The sequence below is a fragment of the Homo sapiens genome, chromosome 3, assembly GCF_000001405.40.
Source record: "Homo sapiens chromosome 3, GRCh38.p14 Primary Assembly".
NCBI lineage: Eukaryota > Metazoa > Chordata > Mammalia > Primates > Hominidae > Homo > Homo sapiens.
Window position 1 is genome coordinate 65,790,292 of NC_000003.12, and position 25,032 is coordinate 65,815,323.

The following is a 25,032-nucleotide window of genomic DNA, read 5'->3' on the forward strand; positions in this document are numbered from 1 at the left end:
TGATCCTATTGCCTTCTTAATTACAACAGTTCACATAATTGGGAAGGAAAGAACAAAAAAGACATGGAAGTCCACTGAGGCCTCCTTGCAAAATAGTTGTCCAGCAAAGCTCTGCCTAAATAAATCTTTTATTAACCTAGACTCCACAAGTTTTTAATCCAACCCCTTTGAAGTCCAGTAATGGTCCTTCTCCTTTTACTAAAAGCCAAATTAGATGGCCATTTTAAGGGTTAATGCTCTTGAATGGTTAGGCAGAAGACAAAAAGACGGCCTATTTTTCCTACAACACAGAGTTAGATCTTGATAAGGTAGCATTTTATAAGTCCTCTGGAGTCAGCTGTAGAGGAAAAAAGTGTCAAGCTCAAGCTAATAAAGTGGGAAAGGGGTAGCCCAGACCCAAAGCATCATGACATTTCAGCTAACAACCTCAGCCTCGCGGGGGAACATGCTTGTGCTTTTCGGTTCTATAGTTGTACAAGGCTGGTACAACGAAGATTGTGCAGGCTGGCACGGTGACTCATGCCTGTAATCCCAGCACTTTGGGAGGCCAAGGCAGGCAGATCACTTGAGGTCAGGAGTTCAAGACCAGCCTGGCCAACATGGTAAAATCCCATTTCTACTAAAAATACAAAAATTACCTGGGTGTGGTGGCATGCGCCTGTAATCCCAGCTACTGGAGAGGTTGAGACAGGAGAATCACTTGAGCCCAGGAAGCGGAGGTTGCAGTAAGCCAAGGTCGCATCACTGCACTCCAGCCTGGGCAACAAAGCAAGACTCCTCAAAAAAAAACCTTAAAATAAAAATAAAGAATGTGCAAATCAACATGCTTTATACGTGCAATTCTTTTAAAACAGACACCCCACACAGCGCGTGCTGTCCATGCCTCCATTACTGCCAACCTCTCTTCGCTCCAAGCCAATGACTGGTGCAGACCCAGCCTGCGTGGGAAGAACACACACTCTCCTCCTTCGAAGCTGAAAAACCCAAGAGGGGCGCATCAGACAATGAAGACACAAATTCTAGGTACAGTCAGCCCTTCGTATCCATGAGTTCCACATCTATGAATTCAATCAACCTTGGTTAAGAATATTCTTAAGCCTACAGCCTGCTGATACCACGATAGACATTCAAAAGCACACTGCTGAAAAAATACTAATATTAGAAAATATTTAAGGGACATTACATGGAAGAAGGCTACAAATGAGAATATTTATTATACTGGAGGGTATACAGTTACATATTTTAAACACAGAAAAGAGAAAGGGAGGGAGGAGACAAAGAAAATGAATAAAAGAATGGGAGAGAAGGCAGGAAGAGGTGGAGGATGGTCACAGAAATGAAATCAATACCATATGCTATCCTCCATCCCAAATTAAATTAATGAGGAGGTAAACGTTCTTATTGGTAGCTTATGGGTAGTGTTTACTCTGTTTTGTGTGTGTGTGTGTTTTTCCATTTGCCAAATTTTCTACGTTGAATATATATTACTTCCATAGCAGAAAAACATTCAAATATATAGATAAATGTTCTGGGTGTTTCTTTAAGGCTTTTTCAAAAGGACAGTCTGAGCTGGGACCACAGGCAATGCAATTGCCTTCAGGTGCCTTTTCAAAACACAGATCTTAGCCCCATCCAAATCCTTTTACACTAGTTCTCCCTTATCTGCCCAGAAAACATTCCAAGAACCCCAGTGAATGCCTGAAACCATGAATAATACCCAAGTCTACGTATTTTTTTTCTATACATACATACATACATACTTCTGATAAAAAAATCAATTTATAAATTAGGCACAACAAGAGATTAATAACAATAGCTAATCATAATATAGCTATTAATAAAATAGCTATTAATAGAAAACTAATAAAATAGCCATTAATAATTAATAGCAAGCCAGAAGCAGTGGCTCATGCCTATCATCCCAGCACTTTGGGAAGCTGAGGCGAGAGGATCATTTGAGGTCAGGAGTTCAAAACCAGCCTGGCCAACATGGTGAAACCCCGTCTCTACTAAAAATACAAAAATTAGCCGGGTGTGGTGGTACACACCTGTAATCCCAGCTACTCGGGAGGCTGAGGCAGGAGAATTGCTTGAACCAAGGAGGAGGAGGTTGCAGTGAGCGAAGATCATGCACTCCACCCTGGGTGACAGAGTAAGACTCTCTCAAACGATGATAATAATAGTAGTTACTAATAACTATTTTAAACTAATACAGTTTTTTATTAAAACTAATAGAATAGCTAATAATATATTGTTATAGCTAGCTATATAGCTAGCTATAACAATATAATAAAAGTAAAATAAGGATTCCTTGAACATAAGCACTAGGATACTGTCCCACCTGATCTGATCAGCTACTAAGTGGCTAACAGGGAAGTGGCGTATACAGCATGGGTCCGATGGACAATGGGAGGATTCACGTTCCAGGGAGAATCTAGTAAAATGACTCAAGGTTCATTACACTACTCAGAACCACATGCAGTTTAAAACTTATGAATTGTTTATTTCTGAAAATTTCCATTGGATATTTTCAGACCACAGTTGACCGTGTATAACTGACACCACGGAAAGCAAAACCATGGATTGGCGCGGGGGAGGGCAGGCGCTACTATAAATCACAACCTCCAAGGTAAGAGCCTGGTTTTTGCATTTTAAGTCTCTCTCAGGGAGTCTCATGCACACCAAAGTAGGAGAAATAGGGCATTTGAGTTTGGAAAACTGGTTACTCATAAGGCTGAATTCTGACCCTAGAGATAAGTCTCATCCACCAGCTAAGTTGAATGTATTTCTTTTATTGCTAAGAAACTTTTTGAGAACTGTCTCTGAAGAAGTCATGCTTGGGAAGACAGGGATGTTGGAAGGCACAAGGAATCAAGGTGGAAATTGCTGGCAGGGCTTCATCACATTATCAGGTGTGCACCATGCTGGCGCTCTCAGGGCTTAGCCAGTTTAGCCAGGATAGATGGAATACAGAATGAATCTATCTGTGACAACTTTTCATAAGATTATTCAGGCCCTGGCAAAAGATCTACATGTTGGTCAACTGTAAACAATGATAGCTAGTGAGATGAACTCTCATTCACAGAGTCTGGGGCAATTAAACCAATTACTTTCCACTGTGAATCCCAGGATCTCAGAAATGCCAAAGGAGAACAGGAACTTAGAAATTATCCAAACCCTTACCTTTTACTGAGAAGAAAAGCAATATAACTGAGGCATGGAGCTGGGAGCTTTAATCTTCAAAGTATTTATAAGCAGTTGAGAGATACTCTGGATAAATTAAAGAATTAGAATAACCATTGAGCTCACTTCAAGGGTTGAGCCTAAGAATCTGAGTTGAGATACTGATGAAAGCAGCTGCGAAAATGCCTGCAACTGCTGGCCTGGGTGGAGCAGCTGCAGGTCTGCATCTGTCTGGGAGGACTGCATTTCCAGGACAGTCTGTCCACTAGTCTCTCCTTTCAGTTTACCTTCTCCCAACTCTGAAGGAGAATCCAGTTAAGGAATAGATCAAGAAAATATATTGCACAGCTATATCTCTGCACCAACATCATATAGACAAAAACAACTCAATTTTCTGCTATTTGATGCTGGTTCTTTGTAGATACAGATGCTGCGTAAAGTTTCTGTTGTCTAAGAAGTTATACAACATTCTCAATTGATGACTAACCACTGTAAACCTGCTGTCTTTATGTCAAACCCACTGCCTTCCTTTTTCCTCGGAGCAAGACAGCCACCATATCTGTGATTTATTGCGCTACCACAATACAGAACACGACTCGACCTGGACCACACCCTAAGGCTAGAAGACAGCAGTAACACTAAAAGGATGAGACGCAAGCCATTGCCAGAAGATCTGGAATGGCCATTTTCCTTCTCGTAAAAGGAAAAACTCAAAAATTGGACCTAATCAAAACTAAAACTTGTGCTCTGTGGAAAGAGGCTAAAAATACAAGCCACAGGCAGGGAGGAAACATTTGCAAGCCACAGACTCAACAAAAGACTGAGACCTAGAATACATAAGGAACTCTCAAAACTCAACAGCACCTTTTCCTCAGTTGCTGCTAAGGCATTTGGTCCTTCTGAGGAAGCTCAGGACCTGTTGGGGTATGGCCTTCTCTTTATCCAGTGACTAAGACTGCGCCCAGCAGCCACTTCCCCAGCCCCCACCCATAACGCAGCCTCAATCTCTGAGCTCACCTGCATCCACTCATTCTGCAGGACAGTGAGGTGATAGTCACAGAATGAAAATCAAAACCCTCATTAAAGCAGCTGGTGTCAATGGTGAACCTTTCTGGCCTAGCCAATGTCAGCCTCAGGAGCCCCCTCTGCTGTGTAGAGCCTAGGGGACCTGCCTCACAACCAGCGATGCCCCAGCAGGAGACCCTATCCCTCCACCCTGCTGTCCTCACTCAGAAAAAAAGAGGGGGCAAAGAAAAGAGAATCTGAGGAGCCCCACGATGACATGGGCCTTGGTCTTTTTGACTAAATCTTTTATGTAATATGTTCAATAAAAAGCTGAACAAAACACAACAAAACAAACCCTCATCAGGAAAAAAAAAAAAAAAACCCACAAACTATCCGGGTATAAGATGGGCAAAATATATAAACAGACATTTCACCACAAAGGATATACAGACAGCAAATAAGCACATGAAAAGATGTGTGCAACATCACTATCCAACGACGCAAATGACTAATGCTAATGAGATACCACCACGTACCTATCAAAACAGGTAAAATCAAAAACAGTGACGACAGCAAACACTAGTGAGGTCACGGAAAACAGTTTGACACTTTCTTATAAAACTAAACAGGTGACTATCATGTGACCAGCAATTGCTCTCTTGTGCTTTTAAATGAGAAAAGGACATTTATGTTCAAACACACAAAAACATTTGCATATTTCATACACTATGAACATGTGCATATGAAATACACAAATGTTCATAGCAACTTTATCAGTAATAGCCAAAACTACCATCAACACAGATCTTCTTCAATAGCTGAGTGGCTAAAAAAAAAGTATGGCTCATCCATACCATGTAACACTACTCAGCAATTTTTAAAAATGAACTGCTGATACACACAGTAACCTGGATGACGCCCTCAGGTGGCTACGCTGCATGAAAACCATAATCCTGGGCTACATACTGTGTCATTCCATTTGTATAACATTCTTGAAATGATAAAATTGTAGAGATGGGGAACATATTAGTGACTGAGAGGGGTTTTGTAAAATATTACCATTGGAAGAAATTATGCAAAGGATACACTGGATGGCCCTGTAGTATTTCTTACAACTACTTGTAAATCTCCAATTATCTCAGAATAAGAAGTTTAACTTAAAATGAAGCCTGCTCTATTTCGGTCTCCAAAGAAACAGAACCATAAGATGATAAGATACACACACACACACACACACACACACACACGGAGAGAGAGAGAGAGATAGAGATTTAAGAAATTGGTCAGGCCGAGGGGTGTGATGGCTCATGTCTGTAATCCCAGCACTTTGGGAAGCCTAGGCAGGTGGATCACCTGAGGTCAGGAGTTCAAGACCAGGCTGGCCAAAATGGTGAAACCCCGTCTCTACTAAAAACACAAAAATTAGTCAGGTGTGGTAGTGCACACCTGTAATCCCAGCTACTTAGGAGGCTGAGGCGCAAGAATTGCTTGACCACAGGAGGCGGAAGGTGCAGTGAGCAGAGATCGTGCCACTGCACTCCAGCCTGGGTGACAGACTGAGACTCTGTCTCAAAAAAAAAAAAAAAAAAAAGAAAAGAAAAGAAAAGAAATTGGCTTCACAGGACTGCGGAGGATGGCGAGTCCAAAATTGCAGAGCTGGCACAGGCCGGGGTCCCAGGGAAGAACTGATGCAAAGACACTCTCCAGGCAGAATTCCTTCTTCCTCCCAGGAGCTCTATTTTCTTTGTCTTTTAAGGCTATTTTCTTTTAAGTCTATTTTCTTTTAAGGCTTTCAACTGATTTGATTGATGAGGCCAATCCCCATTGGAAAGGGTAATCTGCTTTGCTCTGAATCTATTAATACCAATGTAAACGTTATTCTTATCTAAAGAATACCTTCCCAGCGACATCCAGACTGGTGTTTCACCAAATACCTGGGTACCGTGGCCTAGCCAAGTACAAACAAAATTAACCATTACAGCTGCTGTTTCATCTCTTTTCTGCTGGGCTTTTGGTCACTAAGCAGAAAATATGAGGGGAAACGGACACACTGGCTCCCACAGCGGTTGGTCTCTGACATCAGCTATATCTATGTGGGGCAAGTTAGCTATTAATAAGTTTTGCCATGAAATAAAATTAAAAGTATTTATATTCATTTACTTTAAATCTTTTTAAATGCCTAAACCTTCTGAATAATAATATGCTATTCCTAATGCTCTAACCAAGGGGTCGGCATATTTCAACTATAATAAGGTGCCGATAGTAAATACTGTTGGCATTGCAGACCATATGCTCTCTACCCTAACCTCTCAATTCTGTTGCTGTCATGGGAAAGCGGCCTTGTACTATACATGACAAATGGGAATGGCTGTGACCACTAAACTTTATTTACAGAAACAGGCTGTGGGTCAGATTTGGCCTCAGGGCCATAGTTTGAGGATGCCTCCTCTGTTACCAACAAAATTTCAGGTACTTTTCATTCTTTCTCTCATCTTCCAAGGGTGTGATCTTGGATTGAAACTAATCATCTGTATTTTTTTTTTCCAACAGCATTTACTTTTCATCCAGAAAACCTTAGCTATGCCGCATGAGTTCTGATTATCTATTAAACATGAAGCTCAAGTGGTTATTTGCTAGTCACTTTTAAGTGTTTGGAAAAAAATATTAAAGTCCTCAGTCTCTGAGATACAAGGCAAGTCCAATTAGTGCAGACAATGTAAGCCATTATCCAGCTGCAATGGTCTCTTACATTTTCAAAAGAAAGAGTGGAGGCAGGTAAACACTAGCCCAGTAAACATTAAGGATGCATCTAAGGAAGCTTTAATAGGGGCAGGATACCTGTAAAGAGTCTATGACTCACTACATTATTCTAGAATAGATTTTTAATTACTCTGATCTATGTATGGCAACTGCTGCTTCTGATTAAATAGATTTAAAATGAGAAGAAAGAAAACAGAAACCGGCCAGGCACACTGGCTCATACTTGTAATCCCAGTACTTTGAGCAGTCGAGCCATGCAGACGGCTTGAGCCCCAGAGTTCGAGACCAGCCTGGGCAACATGGCAAAACCCCATCTCTACAAGAAAATTAGCCTGGTGTGGTGGCAAAGGCCTGTAATCCCAGCTACCTGGGAGACTGAGGTCAGGTGATCACCTGAGCCTTGGAGTTCGAAGCTGCAGTAGGCCATGATCACACCACTGCACTCCAGCTTGAGCAACACAGTGAGACCCAGTCTCAAAAAAAAGAAAACAGAAATCTAGTTTCTATAAATACTAATATTTTAACCAATATTAATATTTAAGAACTTTGAAGAATCCAGAGCACGGACAGGAAAAATAACACAGATTTCTAGTGGAGATTATTCAATGTATGTTGGGAAGTTTTGTCATCTAAGGATACACTCAAATCTAAGCGTAACCTTGGATTGGACTGTGCTGTACTGTTTATGGGCATTACAGCTATGGAGCAACAGCCCTTGAAAGGAATATAGTTTGTCTCATTTCTAAAATGCATCTTCAATTCTTCACCTTAAAAACATAGCCTTGGCCTGGTGCAGTGGCTCACACCTGTCATCCCAGCACTTTGGGAGGCCAAGGCAGGCAGATCACGAGGTCAAGAGATGGAGACCATCCTGGCCAACATGGTGAAACCCTGTCTCTACTAAAAATACAAAAATTAGCTGGGCATGGTGGGGTGTGCCTGTAATCCCAGCTACTTGGGAGGCTTAGAAAAGAGAATCACTTGAACCCGGGAGACGGAGCTTGCCGTGAGCCGAGATCACACCACTGCACTCCAGCCTGGGCAACAAAGCGAGACTCCATCTCAAAACAAACAAACAAACAAACAAACAAACAAACACAGCCTCAGAAGCACTGAAAATGACAACCCCTCGCCCATTCCATGCCTTTCTTCCTCCCGGGAAACATAAGTCATCAGGACCCATGGAGCAGACATCATTCTGAAAGGCACATCAAAGACACTCTGAAGTTCCAAAGGAAGCCGCCAACTGTAGGCCTCGGGCCAAGATAGGTGTAGGGGTGCTGCCCTTTACCATGGCTCTTGCCTCTTTACCATGGCTTAGGAAGGATGCTCTGGGTTTCCTTAAACTTCGCAGATTCATGCTGATTGCAGTCAAAATAAATATTCCCAGGAGCTTTGTGAACTGAAATTTCCTTTCATGAAAAGAATTTCTAGAAATACTACAGCTACAGTAGTCCCCCCATTATCCACGGCTTCGCTTTCTGCAGTTTCAGTTACCTACGGTCAACCACAGTCCAAAAATATTAAATGAAAAATTTCAGAAATAAACAATTCATAAGTTTTAAATCATGCACCGTCCTGAGTGATGTGATGAAATCTCTCACCATTCCACTGTGTCCAGCTCAAAGGGGAACCGGCCTTTAGGACAGCATTTCTACCCCGTATACCCTCACCACCCATTAATCACATATCGGCCACCTCAGTGAGCAGGTCGACTGTCAAAGTATCACAGTGCTTGTGTTCAAGAAACCTTTATTTTACCTAATGATGACCCGAGAGTGCAAGACTAGTGAGGCTAGCAAGTCAAACAGCCAAAAGGGAAGCTGTAATGTGCTTCTGTTAGTGAAAAAGGTGAAAATTCTCGATTTAATAAGCAAAGAAAAAAATCATATGCTGAGGTTGCTGAGCTCTATAGTATTCTATCTGTGAAACTGTAATGAAGGAAAAAGAAATTCGTGCTACTTTTCTGTTGCACTTCAAACTACAAAAGTTATGGCCACAGTGCATTACAAGTACTTAGTTCAAAAGGAAAGAAAAATGTTTGGGTGGAAGACATCAACAGAAATGGGTTCCAACTGACTGAAACATGTGGCACCAGGAAGCACCGAGCCTATACAAAGACTTCAGCAAGGGATCCCCTAAAATGAGTGACACTAAGTTATTTGTTGCAAGTAGCGAATGGTTGTGCAGATTCAAGATAAGCTTGTACCGAAAAATACAAAAATTACTGGAGAGTCTCTATCTGCTGATGAAGAAGCAGCTGTCACATTTCCAGCAGAGTTGAAGAAGCTGTTGATCTCATTACTGTGCCTAGTTTATAAATTAAATTTTATCATACATATGTATGTATGGGGAAGAGCAAAGTATACTATAGAATTTGGTACTATTCCATGGTTTGAGGCATCCACTGGGGGTCTTGGAAGATATCTCCTGCAGATAAAGGAGGACTACACATAATAAAAGAGCAGCTGACATGTCAGTTAATTGTAGTTTTAAATGAATATGCAAACAAAACTCATATTTATGTGTTTTTTAAAAAATATTTATTTGGGCTGATGTTTCCACAACTTTTGAAAACTCTGTAGTGTATTGCACATTTTCCCCTCACATTAATAATTGTACCCAACGCTTTACATTTAAATATTCTTCAGCTGAGAAGATGTCTGGAAGTTGAAAAAAATAGATAAAACAAGCAAGCATATTATTTAAACACAAATAATGTACCATTTTAAAATAAGTTAATACTACGTTTCCCAATTATTCAGACTTCCTGAAGGTTCCGACTGCCTAATTCCAAGTCTACCACTTACTTTGCTGAATGGCGTTGGGCATGTTACTTTCCTCCCAAGTTTCAGTTTCCTCATCCATAAATGGAGAGCCTAATAATACCTGCTCCATATGGGGTTCTAGTGGCGAACAGGTGACTTAACACATGTAAAGCATTCAGAATAATGCCTGGCACGTGGCAAGCCTTTAGTAAGTGCTAATCCTGATCATCAGCTTCTTTTTCTTCTTCATCATTAATTTGTGGTTCTTACATTTAAAGGTGTCAGGGTAGTTCAATGTAGGAGCAAGCAAAGTTTTAGGGGTGGCATGTTAAATATTAAATATAATCAATCCTTCCCTCCCCTTGGAGTATTTTCTATACACTGAAGAGTATCTTTTAGTAATTGTGAATTTCTTTTTTATCCCCACAAAGAGTTAGAGGGAAACCTTAGCAAAACCAGACATTGTGTATCAGTGAGTCCAATTGTCCAGTCTCATAGTCTTTATAACCCAGCAAACAGGCCCAGTGAACAGGTGCTTGGAAGGGCAGAACATGGACTGCTTCAAACAATCAGAAATGCATCCAATAAGATATGAACTCCCACCATGGGAAATACGTTTTTTAATTAGATTAAAAAAAAAACTGATGTAAGAAATTGGCAAAATTGTTGCTTCTGAAAAGGAGTGATAGCAAAAACTAAAACTAAAAATAAAATAAAATTTTTAAATATGTATCCATTCCTATGGTTTCCAAGTATTTTGATGTTAGCTTCTACCAGGACTGCCTGATATTTTTCTCATATATTTTCTTCCTTTATCTTAGAGTGAATCTATTTGTCACACAGTTTATTGTTCCTGTTAGGTTGGTGCAAAATTAATTGTGGTTTTCGCCATTAAAAGTAATAGTAAAAACCGCAGTCACTTCTGCACCAATGTAATATTTCCCCTGGGATAAAACAGAGTTGGATGAATCAGGTGCTCACAGGCAAATCTCCCTGGAAGTTCCTACTTAGTTCTTCTCCTCTGTCACTTTATATTTATTTGCAAATTGTCAAGCACCATTGGTTTATATTTGAGACACTTATGAAAATGAGAGATAAAGAATAATTTCAGGTAAAACTCTTCTTGGGCAACACAGATCTAATGTTTCCAATGAAATAATCACTTCCTGAAATGGAAAAATAAAATAGGAAGTCAAGAAAAAATACAGATTTCAAGAACAGCATGGGTTTAGCTTCAAGTTAAACAGAAACACTGATGCAGACAATACCAATCATTTGAGTCTTTTGAGATCTAATACAGAGCATCCAAAGGAAAGGTCTGATGAGGGAAAGAAAATCCAAAGCTTTGAAATGGTCAAAGTAGCTAGGTCTTGAAGTCAGATGCAAAGTTATAACATTCTAGAAAAATGTCCGGTCGCTTAAGTCTTAGATTCCATCAAAGTGATGACCAAATTTAGAGATGAATAACCGTACTTGGATCACTTAGCAGAAACAGCATTATAGGCCAACTTGGCTGGAAAAAAGCTCTCCATTATCAAGATCTGAGGAAGACCTCTGCAAATCCAGGTCTCCATCTCCCTGACAGCCTCCTTCACTTTCTAACAGCTCCTCGACCAATCACTTCTCCTACATTCTAACCCAATGGCTCTCAACTCTTTAAAAAATGCAGATAGGTTTTAAAGTTTAGTGGAACCTAACATGACAGTAATTATATTTTAAATATCTGTTGGGTAAGAAAATGCATAGAAACAAAAACTTTTCAATTCACTATAAGATTTTCTACTTTATTAACCCCTAAAGCAGGGGTCCCCAAACCCCGGGCCACAGACTGCTACCAGTCCATGGCCTGCTAGGAACCCAGCCACACAGCAGGATGGGGGCAGTAAACTAGCATTACCTCCTGAGCTGGGCCTCCTGTGATATCAGCAGAGGCATTCAATTCCCAGAGGACCATGAAACCTATTTTGAACTGCACATGTTGGGGATCTAGGTTGGACACTCCTTATTAGAATCTAACTAATGCTTGATGGTCTGAGGTGGAACAGTTTCATCCTGAAACCATGCTCCCTGCCCCACTCAACCTCCTGGAAAATTTGACTTCCATGAAACCGGTCCCTGGTGCCAAAAAGGTTGGGGACCACTGCCCTAAAACATCTTCATTCAGTTAAAATTTTTCTGAGAGCCTACTATGTGCAACGCATTATTCTTAGCATTTGAGGTACAATTCTGCCCTTAAAATTCTCCTCCTTCCCTCCCTCCTTTCCATATCCTATCAGAAAAGGTCTGAACAAAATGGTTATTCTGATAGGAGAATTCTAAATTCTATTTGATGGGAGGGATGGGGGAGACAAGGAAGATGGAGGCAACTCTCCATTCCTCCTTGGGGTTGTAATTTTTCACCATGTGAACGCATTCATGAGTTACTCGTGTAATTAAAAATAAAAGATGGTAAACAGAGCATCTGTGTAAGAAATGTCTAGAAAAATAAAAAGTCCTTTAGAATTACTTCAAGGCCCTCTAAAAATGTGCCCAAATCCACATTGCACCCTGGGGTTCAGAAAGCAGTGGCTCTTGCAAATTGTTCATATCAATTCAGTTCAATTATCTGGTAGCAACACTCAGGCAAGTACCATCTTTCTTTTGTTCATTCCTGTAACATCTATCAAGTACACAATACCTGGCATAAAACAAACACTGAATTAGGTAAATATTAAATGGCTGACTGAATGGATGACTGAAGAATGCCTAGTTTCCTGCCTCAAGTACCGAATGCCTAACCATTTTCCTTCCATGGTGACTTCAACACACTCTCCAAAACTCCACTCAAAAGATCATCTCATCTGTGTGTGTGTGTGTGTGTGTGTGTGTGTGTGTGTGTGTGTGTCTTTTGTTGGCATCTAACTCATCTATGGTGAAAAACACAAATTTCATCTCTATAACCTCAACATTTTCTACTGATAAAGACATCCATGTAACCAACATGCAGATGAAGAGAGAGAGAGGACATTACCAGTACTCCCACCACACTGCTTCAATATGGCCTTATTTTAATAACATCCTTGCCCATTTTTTTGTTTCTTTGTTTTCTGCTACTTGCAAAATCAAAGTATTTCACTTTGAATAAGATAACAGCTAAATGAGCTGATTTTTTTTAACTAGAGTTAGCAAACATCTCTAATCCAGTAAAGTGATGTCAATTAAAAATAGTATTAGGAATCCTGCGATATTATAACAGCAGGTGACAATTTAACACTGTTTGGACTAAAATATTGTAGGTGAAATTTACTGTAATAGAGATTGTACATATGAAAAAATATCAAAGGTTTCTAATTTTAATACATTTTCCCTCAATGCTCAATGCTTAAATAATTTTCCTTTACATGCTTACTGACTATAAATAAAAGATAGACTTAAAATTTCCTAAAAGGAAATTTTAGATGTGATATTACATGACCTCTCTACATTCTCATCTTTAAATTATTCCCTGTGAAATCTTGTTCAATCCATCATTTGAGCATGTCAGCAGGAAAAATAATTTCTTTTTTGTTTTAATTTTAGGTTCAGGGGTACATATGCAGGTTTGTTATATAGGTAAACTCGTGTCATGGGAGTTTGTTGAACAGATTATTTCATCACTCAGGTACTAAGCCTAGTATCCAACAGCTATTTTTCCAGATTCTCTCTCTCCTGTCACCCTCTACCTTCCAGTAGGCCCCAGTGTCTGTTGTTCCCCTCTCTGTGTCCACGTGTTCTCATCATTTAGCTCCCACTTACAAGTGAGAACATGCAGTATTGGTGCTGGAGGCCATTATGCTTAGCAAACTCATACAAGAAGAGAAAACCAAGTACTGAAAAATAATTTCTTAAATGAATTTTGCATATGACAAAAGATCTCACACCTCCTCTAACTCAGAAACAATAACACGAGTGCTTCAACAAAAATTGTAACCAAGATTCAGGAAGACTCCTTAAACCTTTAAGACAATCATGATAGATTAACAAGAACCTAGCACAAACTGAGGCATCCCTAAATTCCACTCTGCATCTTTCCAAGAGAAAACTCTAAGAACATTCAAGTCCCCTTTATAACACTGAAGAAATTCGAAAAACAAACATTCATCTTACTGATGTAGAAGAACAGAAAAGCATCACACTATTAGCTCCTCCAATGGCCTGGCAGAGACCCTGCGTGGCACAAGCCACAAATAAGAACATTCTAAAGAATTAACCATTTTGCAAAACAGAACATTTCTCAGATGGCTTAGTAAAAAAAAAAAAAAACACACACAGTGACATCAGAACATTAAGAGAGGGGAGAGATTTTCAGATAACATCACTGACTGGTATAAGCAATGTATTTATATCAATAAATTGATATAAATTTATTGGTATAAACTGATATATATAAATATTGATATGAATTGATATAAATTACATTGATATTTATATCAATATGTTATACTGATATAAATTATATTGATATTATATTAATACATGTTATATACTGATATAAATTGATATTTACGTTATTAAATCAAGTTTAGCCTAAAGCTGCCTCTTTACATATTTTAAATTTGGTCTAAAGGTTTTTCTGTACACATCATGAACTATAGCAAGTGGCAATGTAAACGGACCGTAGCCTACACTTGTGCCAATCACCAAGTTTTTCCCAATCAAATGTACCCAACTGTACAGTAATCAAAACGGCATGGCACTGGTACCAAAACAGGCACAAAGACCAATGGAACAGAATAGAGATCTCAGAAATAAGGCCACACATCTACAACCATCTGATCTTTGACAAACCGGACAAAAACAATCAATGGAGAATGGATTCCCTATTTAATAAATGGTGCTGGTAGAACTGGCTAGCCATATGCAGAAAATTGAAACTGGAACCCTTCCTTACACCTTATACAAAAATTAACTCAAGATGGATTCAAGACTTAAATGTAAAACCCAAAACTATAAAAACCCTAGAAGAAAATCTAGGCAATATGATTCAGGATATAGGCATGGGAAAAGATTTCATGACAAAAACATCAAAAACAATTGTGAACAAAACCAAAAATTGACAAATGGGACCTAACTAAACTAAAGAGTTAATGTACAACAAAAGAAACTATCATCAGAGCAAACAGACAACCTGTGGAATGGGAGAAAATTTTTGAAATCTATCTATCTGACAAAGGTCTAATATCCAGAATCTATAAGGAACTTAAACAAATTTACAAGAAAAAACAAACAACCCCATTAAAAAGTGGGCAAAAGACAAGAACAGACACTTCTCAAAAGAAGTCATTTATGCAGCCAACAAACGTATGAAAAAAAGCTCAACATCACTGATCATTAGAGAAATGCAAATCAAAACCACAATGAAATACCATCTTATGCCAGTCAGAATGGCAATTATTAAAAAGTCAAGAAACAAGAGACGCTGGCGAGGCTGTGGAGAAACAGGAATGCTTTTACAGTGTTGGTGGGAACACAAATTAGTTCAACCATTGTGGAAGACAGTGTGGCGATTCCTCAAGGATCTAGAACCAGAAATACCATTTGACCCGGCAATCCCATTACTGGGTATATACCCAGAGGAATATAAATCATTCTATTACAAAGGTACATGCACGTGTATGTTCACTGAAGCACATTCACAATAGCAAAGACATGGAATCAACCTAAATGCCCATCAGCAATAGGCTGGATAAAGAAAATGTGGCACATATACACCGTGGAATACTATGCAGCCATAAAAAGGAACAAGATCATGTCCTTTGGAGGGACATAGATGGAGCTGGAAGCCATCATCCTCAGCAAAGTAACACAGGAACAGAAAACTAAACACCGCATGTTCTCACTCATAATTGGGAGCTGAACAATGAGAACACATGGACACAGGGAGGGGAATAACACACACTGGGGCCTGTCAGGTGGGGGACAGGGGAAAGGAGAGCATCAGGATAAATAGCTAATAGATGCAGGGCTTAATACCTATGTGATAGGTTCATAAGTGCAGCAAACCACCATAGCAAATGTTTACCTAGGTAACAAATCTGCACATCCTACACATGTATCCTGGAACTTAAAATAAAATATAAAGAAATTTTTTAAAAATTAAAAATTTTTTTCAAAAATATAGCTGGCCAGGCACGGTGGCTCATGCCTGTAATCCCAGCACTTTGGGAGGCTGAGGCAGGTGGATCACAAGGTCGGGAGATCAAGACCATCCTGGCCAACATGATGAAACCCCATCTCTACCAAAAATACAAAAATTAGCCGGGCATGGTAGTGTGCGCCTGTGGTCCCAGCTACTCGGGAGGCTGAGGCAAGAGAATCCTTTGAACATGGGAGGCAGAGGTTGCAGTGAGCTGAGATCATGCCACTTCACTCCAGACTGGCAACAGAGGGAAACTCCATTTCAAAAAAAAAAAATGTAGCCAACTGTTTGAACTGTGTTTTAATAGGGCAAACGCCGAGCTGTAACCAATTCAACTGTTACTGTACCTCACTTCCGTTTTCTGTACGTCACTTTCCATTTTTTGCCCGTAAGTCTCCCACCACATAACTGCGTTGGAATCTCGGAAACTTCTCTGGCTCAGATGGCTGTCCAGTTCCCCAATCATTCATTGCTCAGTTAAACTCCTTTAAATTTAATTCTGCTGGAGTTTTTATCAATATCAATTTACTGATACAAATGAATTGTGCACACCAATCAGTGATGTCATCTGAAAATTAGTTTATATCAAACTGATCTAAATATACCATGCCTGGACCCTGTCCACTAGATGCCAGTAGCACACCCCATAGTTTGTGACTATAAAAACTGTTCCAGACATTCCAAATGTCCCCCTTGAAGAGGGGAGGGAGGAGACAGTGCAATAACCATCCATCATTTGAGAACTACTGATTTATACTGATGACATAGTTGATGATGATAACGATGGAAACATCATCATAGCAATAAAATAATAAAAACAATTTCCTCCTATTCAGTACTCTACTCAGATGCTATGCCAAGTACTTTATATACACTTTCTTCTGTAAGACCACCCTATGAGACAGGTATTCTAATTTTCCACATTTTATAGTAAAGAAACTGAGGCTCAGGAAAGTTAAATGCCCTATTTAAGGTCACACAGTAAGATGCTGTCCTAATCTGTTCCTGTTGCTATAACAGAACGCCTTAGACTGGGTAATTTGTAAATAACAGAAATTCACTTCTCCCAGTTCTGGAGGCTGGGAAGATCAAGATCAACATTCCAGCAGATGTGGTGTCTGGCAAGGACTTCATCTCTGCTTTCAAAACAGAGCTTTCTTACTGTACATTGACATATAGGAAGGACAAAAAGGGACCGGCTTTCTCTTCAACCTCTGTTTATAAGGACACTAATTCCACTCATGAGAGCTCCACCCTCGTGACTTAATCACAGCCTAAAGGCCACACCTCTTAACACTATCACATTGGCAATTAAGTTTCAACACGATTCCGGGGCAGGAGAGGGACACTTTCACACCATAGCAGAGGGTGACCAGGGGTTCGCAAACAAGCCTAACTTACAAGTTCATAATTTTAACTAACATGCTATATATTGCCATCTCCACCACACAGAGAATTATGAGAGTGCTCTGGGAACCCAGCAACCGGCTATTCCAAACAGAAGTAAATGGAGAACACAGTACCCAAAAGATACAACAGATAATGTCTGGTAGTGAGTGAAGTAGGCCGCCACCAGACTGCAAATGCTCATCTTCCCTATTAATAACATGTGCTTTAAACACAACGTGATAATCCTCAGAGCAACCTCTCAAGATAGATACCAGTATCTCCATGTTACGGATGAGAAAACTGAGTACAGAGCGATTGAGTAAATTATCCAAGATCACAGGGCTGTTTTTTCTGATGGAGCCAAGATTTAAAATGAGACCCAGCCAGGTGTGGTGGCTCACGCCTGTAATCCAGCACTTTGAGAGGCTAAGTTCGGCGGATCACTTGAGGTCAGGACTTTTTTTTTTTTTTGGCTCTTGTTGCCCAGGCTGGAGTGATCTTGGCTCACTGCAACCTCTGCCTCCCAGATTCAAGCAATTCTCCAGCCTCCGCCTCCCGAGTAGCTGGGATTACAGGCATTCGCCACCACGCCCAGCTAATTTTGTATTTTTAGTAGAGACACGGTTTCTCCTTGTTGGTCAGGCTGGTCTCAAACTCCCAACCTCAGGTGATCCACCCGCCTTGGCCTCCCAAATTGCTGGGATTACAGGCATGAGACATGGCGCCCAGCTGAGGTCAGGACTTCTTGACCACCCTTGTCAACATGGTGAAACCCTGTCTCTATTAAAAAATACAAAAAGGCAGGCATGGTGGCACACTCCTGTAATCCCAGCTACTCAGGAGGCTGAGGCAGGAGAATAGCTTGAAGCTGGGAGGCAGAGGTTACAGTCACCCAAATCGTGCCACTGCAATCCAGCCTGGATGACAGAGCAAGACTCTGTCTCAAAAAAACAAATAAATAAAATAAAAGTAAATAAATAAAATGAAACTGGTCTGACTGCTGAGCCTCATTTACTTCCAGCACAATGATTTTATGGGTCAAGGGACAATATTAATGTAAGCAGCCAGCACGCTCTCAGCAGGAACTGACACAAGTTACATACCCGTGGGACCCACTGCATGATGAGACCTTCACGACACCAACAGAACTCCAACATCATTCTCCACCCACCTCACAAATTGGGGACCATTCTGCTCTTCCGTCACTCAAGAGGACTTGCACCGCACACAGGACCTACATGGGTCTCAGCTTTTTATATCTCATTTTAAGTAAAAGCAGATTTTTTTAAAGTGCATTCTCCTCTTACAAGAACATTAATTAACTTCTCAGCTAAAACTCTGCTGGGAAATGTGAGGTACAGCAATGATGTGTCTCCATGGGTAATCTAAAAGGGAAAGGAAATAAGGGGAGATTTACGCTGGGAAAATGAGAGTAATACTCAGAGTGTGAATAATCTAAAGTACAGACATTTAATCTGAGAGAAATATTTGGATATTGGGAATTCCAAAGGAGAACTCAGCCAATGATTATGGTCCACAGGGCCCATGGGTAGGTTATTAAGAAATGCATTTACACTGAAATACTATGCTACACACAGACAGCAGAGCAGCGTAAAAAGGTTTCACACAGCATTCCCAGCACAGACAGTGACGATGTGCTCTAATAACTGGGATAACTGCCCACGGTGGGACCCTAAACTTGTTTCCGGACACTTCAGCAGGTCAAGTGTAGAAGAAAAATTTAAGACCACTAGGACATGGTAACAGTTGTCACCATTTCCAAGGGGAAGCTGAAAAAGAAGGTGAGAAAACTTTATGTAAAACTTTATCAAGATGACAGAAATTCAGTTCTCCAACGTCATCCATTTCAAGTTCCTATAGAAATAATACTGCTTACCCAAGTCAGAGGACTGGAGCCAAGAAAGGTGACAGAGAAGAGAAATGAATGGGGTGGGAAAGAACAATTTAAATTACAGGTCTTCCAGAAATACCTTCTACCCAGTCCCACCATCCTGCAGAAATCCTGAACAATCAAAAAACTTTCAGCTGTGATGGAAAACTCAACTCAAACTAAAGATGGGACGCTCTCATTTACTGGCCTAGTGACATGGCCAGCCCTGGAGCCCTGAGGCCAGGGAGAAGGTCAGTTGCCCAGATAAAAAGTGGCGCCCAGTTACCAAAGGAAGGGAAATGGATATTATGCAGGCAAAACAGATACACTGGACATTCCATTCCGTTTTGTCTTGCACAGAAATTAATGACTCCTGTCCAGTTCCTCTTTCTACAGGAGCTCACAATCTGTCTTCAAAATTCACCTAGGCTCCTTTCCTCTCTAGTGCCCTGCTATACACCCCCATTCTGAATTCCCCACCCCAACTCTTCTCCCACTGCTGCTCCTACACACACAACCTCACATATATCCTCTCTCTCTCTCTCTCCCTCTCTCTCACACACACACACAGACACACACTTCTCTATCATTTTCTTTTATTTCAGGACTTATTTACCAAAGTATCATGGTTTCAAGTATGACAGAACTATGAGCCAGTACATGAATTTATCCATCAAAAAGTGCTATCAAAATCTTTACCTATAATTTCACATATTAGGTAAAGCCATTTTAACTCAAAGAAATGCATGCTAATGGTGGAATTTTAGATACTTTGGCACATTGGGCAAGCCCAAGAGGACCCTTCTCCCAAAGACATTCAATTCATGCCACAGAGAGAGGCTGCCTATGAAGTCTAACTAGCAGAAGGCCTCTCTCTTTTATCCAGTCTCTATCCCATACACCCAAACGGCTCATGAATGTGGCAGTAATGCCTCTACCCAGAAAAGTAATTCAGTACTTCCAAAAGGTTATTTTAAGACAGACTGTTAAATGAAACATGAGTAATTCCATTACAGTGTTGATTAGGAACACAAGTCAGAAACTGCTCCAGACAAGAAACTCGTAACCACAACAACAAATGGAAAACGAACTCCAGCGTGGCTCCCTGGAGAGAATCGAATGAACTGATGGGTGTTTTCCTTCTCTTATTTCCAAGGATCTAATAAAGGTTTCATCTCTGTCAGGAATGGTGGGAGTCTATCGCCGGGGAAGATGATGGCAGCTCTCCCTTGGAGCTCTTGCATTTCTGCAATCAGCCAGCGAGGGAAAGCCCGCACTCCACAAAATGCAAGGAGTAGAATCCCTCCCCAGGTCTACTGACTTTCAACTCCAGCAACCTATTTAGGTCCCTTCATGGTGCACACACACCTCGTAATTGACTTTGTTTTGTTATTTGTGGACACATTTAGCTCTTTCCTCTTTCTCTTCCATGAGATTACATATTTCAGGAGGGCTCCAGGCAGTACCTTCATTACCTTGCAAGTACATGGCATATAGTAGGTACTTAATACATGTTTGTTGGGATAATTAATCTGCTGATTTCTAAACAAAAGATTGATAAACAATTGAATGAATGGTCACACATGGACAAACGAAAGCACACTTGCCTTCTCAATCAAGTATTGAATGTTAGGTTCTGAAAACTAACTATAGAAAATACAGTATCAAAGTATGTATACAGAAAAGCCAAAAACTGCCACACAGCCTTCATTATTTTCCTACAGGCAACTTCATAGGATAATCCTTGCATCTTGGCTCTTCAACATTTGAAGAGCACCTATTGTGATAGCAACGTCTTATCACCCAGCCTCTACTGACATGAACAAACAATGAAAGACTATATTCACTGACATTCCCCGGTAAGAGGCTAGGAGACTAGTGTCTAAATGTTGGGTTGCTTTTTTTCTTATTCCATTAGACATTTTTAGATTCTCAGCCAAGCCCAGAAGCCAACCCTCTTCTTGGGAAGCTTCCTGCCAGATCTCCATGGGGAGCCCCCAGGCAGCCATATTTGGACTGGGAATCCAACCTCCACTCATCGACCAAGAGCAGTCACCTGACTCATGCTTGGCAAAGCAGAGTCTCTTTCTAAGGAAATGTGGAGCTATGACTGAGAGCCAGCTAGTCAGTCTCTGTGGGTTCCTGAAACTGCAGAACGAGCTAAGGGTTATTCATGTTTTCTTTCACATGAAAGCTGGGCTGCAGAGAAAGAGATAATGTAGCAAAAATAAATAAATAAATACACAAACAAAAAAAAAAACAAGAAAAGCAGAGCCAAGACAGAGAGGTAAACTGATAAACTTTCAGGTCCATTCCTAAGTACCAGTCCATTCTTGCCCAAGTGGCATGAGCTAACCCTGTAGCTTTATTATAAAGAATCCCCCCTTGTTCTTTTACTTAAGCTAGTCATTACCAGCTAGTTGATTATAAATAACATGTATAATCTAATTTCCTGAGAATTTTTAAATCTTTTGTATGTTTACGTGTGTGTGTGTGTGTGTGTGTGTGTGTGTGTGAGAGAGAGAGCGTGCACTCGCAGCTATAAACACAAAACTATTTCTTTTTGCGCAAACTCCCACAAAAACTCGGCGGGAGAGGAGGTAATCTCATGATCTCTGCATTAAGCCAGCCTGAAATTGATCTGTGTCTCTCCGTAACTCAAAGCCAAGCTATTTAAATAGCTCTCAGGAAATGCTTTTTCCCAGACACCAGACACATAATAAATACTTTTTTTAAGTGTAGGAAGAAAAGAATAATATACCACCAACCTGACTAATCTTATCACATTCCTGACTCAGTACAGATGCAACATAAAGGCTGGCACAAAGCGGGTATTCTAAAAATGTTAATTGTTGCTGTTATTGTTATTATTTACCTGTTCCTGGCCCAGTGCTCCCCAGCAGGGCTAGCATGATGGGGGCACACACTGCTGTGACCCTAAATACATTACGGTTGAAAAAATTACAGGATTTTATAATTTTATAAAATCTCTCTCTCTCTTTCTCTCTCTCTCTCTCTCTCTCTCACACACACACACACACACACACTTCTCTATCATTTTCTTTTATTTCAGGACTTATTTATCCAAGTATCTTATGGTTTCAAGTTTGGCAGAACTACAAGCCAGTACTGAGCAAGGACCGAATAAAATTATAGGATCATTATAAGAGTTAGCAATGATACATTCTATGTTCCAAAGAAATGCTAGACCACATTAAATCAATGATATAAACTGACTGGTTAAAGTTAGTTTACTTTTTTTTTTTTTTTTTTTTTTTTTTTTGAGACAGAGTTTTGCTCTTGTTGCCCAGGCTGGAGTGCAATGGTGCAATCTCAGCTCACCGCAACCTCCGCCTCCTGGGTTGAAGCGATTCTCCTGCCTCAGCCTCCAAGTAGCTGGGACTACAGGCATGCACCACCACACCCAGCTAATTTTTGTATTTTTTAGCAGAGATGGGGTTTCTCCATGTTGGTGAGGCTGGTCTCAAACTCCTGACCTCAGGTGATCCGACCGCCTCAGCCTCGCAAAGTGCTGGAATTACAGGCTTGAGCCACCGCGCCCAGCCTAGTTCACATTTTCTAAAAGAAAAAAAAAAAAGTCAATTTCTTTTTTATTAAAGAGAAGCAACATAAAAATACACAGTCACAACAGCATTCAAGGAAACGAAACCATCTTCATTCTTCTGAAAGAATCCAAAAGGAGTGAGAGGTGAACATGGCATTTGCACATATACCTGAACTGACTTCCAAGCTATCCTCTTTGTCTCACCAAGCGCCACACCCCCATTTCTCCCAGCTTGTTCATGAATCTAGCATGGATTGGGTGAGGCCTGTAACAACTGAGGCTCCTTTTATTGTTCACTCCTCAACTGGCTGCTCCAGGAAATCCTACAGCATGGCAAAACCATCCTTAAGCAAAAGCTAATGGAAGGCAATTTGGGGGAAAAGGAAGAAAACAAGGAAATAGGAAGGAGATGCGAATTATGAAAAAAAATGACCATTAAGAAACAAATCAAATGGACAAAATGAGCTTCTATTTAGGGCCTATGAAATTAGCAACTACTCAGAAAAAATATATACTACATAGTAATGGTGGGGATATAGAAAAAGAGCAGTCTCAGAGTTGACTATGGGTAAGTAACTTGTTTCAACCTTTCTGGGAGGAATTTTAGCAATGCACATCTCTTTAACATATGTATCATCTTTGACCCAGCCATTCCACTTCTAGAAATTTATCCTACAGAAATAATGAGAAATACGCAGAATGCTTAGGGTACACAGATGTTTAGAACAATTAAAGTCATAAAATGGTATTTATAATAGGGAGATAATGGTGCCAATCTAAATGTTCCATATTAATGGAGTGGTTCCCTGAAATATAACACACATAATTAAGTCCAGGGTTCTTCAAACTTTATTCTGAAAAGCTCAATGAGTCTCTCGGACATATCTAAAGGTACCTTGCAGGAGTAATGAATGAATCCCAATAGACAGGTCTTGCTCCCATTCATCCCAGACTTAGCCATCCTCATAAAATTATGGGTACGGAAATGATGCTACTGCTTAAGCAGCAAACACAAAATGGTTAGATGCTAAGGACTATTATGCAGCCATTATAAATCATGTTACATAAAAATATACACAAACTAAAAAGAACAAGTGGCACCCCAGTATCTAGTAAGCTTCAGAGGAGATCGGGTCTTTAGTAGCTGCTAAAGATATAGATTACTCTGCCAGACACAGGGTGTCTCATCACTAATAAACTCCTAATAGTGGGTATCCTTCTTTCATATTCATCTACATAAAACAGTCATGATAAAATTCATTCTCTAAGGTGGTAGTAAAAATTAGTTGAGATGATGCATGTAATGGTGTTTACCTCAATGACTGGTACACAATACTCCATCATAGAAGTTCTTTTAATGTATATCAATCTAAGGCTTAGAATTTCACATTTACCAGTATTTATTCCTCACCTCTCATTCACACAGCATTTGAAATCATCATCAGCTCAGACCTCCTGACTTTCATGGAAGGCATCCATGAAATCAAGTCTTTTAAAAAGTCAAAAATGATTTCTTTCGCCCAGAGGATTCCAGTCTTTGAACTACATAATTTGGATTTTTTGTTCTGTTTTGTTTTGTTTTTCAGCTAAGAAAGCAAGCACTTCATTTCTTAAGCAACCGCACCTCAGCACTAACAACCCCAGCAGACTATCTTTCCCTCAAAATCACAGGACTGCTCATAGAATGCTCAGAGCATCACAGAATCTTACAGAACTCTTTTATAAAGAAAAATATGGCTGTCATCTTTTTATGTCTCTAAGAAATGACAATAATTCAGATTTCAATTCTATAGTGATTTGATTTGATCATTTTAAAACAAAGACATAAAATGGTTCATTTATATAACCAGTTGCTAAGAGTGTTGGCATTTTAATAGGCAGCTTATGAAAACATACTTTTTGAAAGAAAATACTAATATCTACAGAGAGGAAAAGGATGAATGAAGCTCATAAAATTTAACTGCATTTTAGTTTTGATTTGGGAAAGCTGCAAGATCATCCACTTGGGAAACACAGCAGCTGTATTTCTAAGTCCTGCCTCGTACAGTTCCCCACCAGTTGCTGCCATGAGAGCCCCTTCTCTAGAGGGAGGCGGCAGCATTCGTATCTGCTCTCTCCCTGCAACCTGTGCTGCTGAGCTAGTGGAAATCTCAATGATTCAAGGGACTGAATAGAAGTTCCTTTCGTCAAAAAGTCTGACAATTCTGGGGCCCATGATCTGGGAATGAAATATCTGTCCTAATCCAGCCTGGGGCCAACACACGGTTGTTGATTGCTTTAAAGAACGAAGCACTACCAGCCTTAGCTGTTTCTC

At 40.2% G+C, this 25,032-nt stretch overlaps 1 protein-coding gene across 6 annotated transcripts in view, besides 1 other annotated feature; it reads right to left on the reverse strand.

Moving 5' to 3' along the window:
- The window catches only part of MAGI1 (membrane associated guanylate kinase, WW and PDZ domain containing 1), a 685,393-nt gene that overhangs the window by 436,766 nt on the left and 223,595 nt on the right, over positions 1-25,032 (reverse strand). The window lies entirely within an intron of this gene.
- Positions 758-930: a silencer, noted in NCBI's record as "fragment chr3:65776724-65776896 (GRCh37/hg19 assembly coordinates)". NCBI's record gives its function as "represses an EF-1alpha promoter that drives an FKBP-Casp9 reporter gene in an ReSE screen in HepG2 liver carcinoma cells {active_cell/tissue: HepG2}" and the evidence as "EXISTENCE:reporter gene assay evidence [ECO:0000049][PMID:32094911]".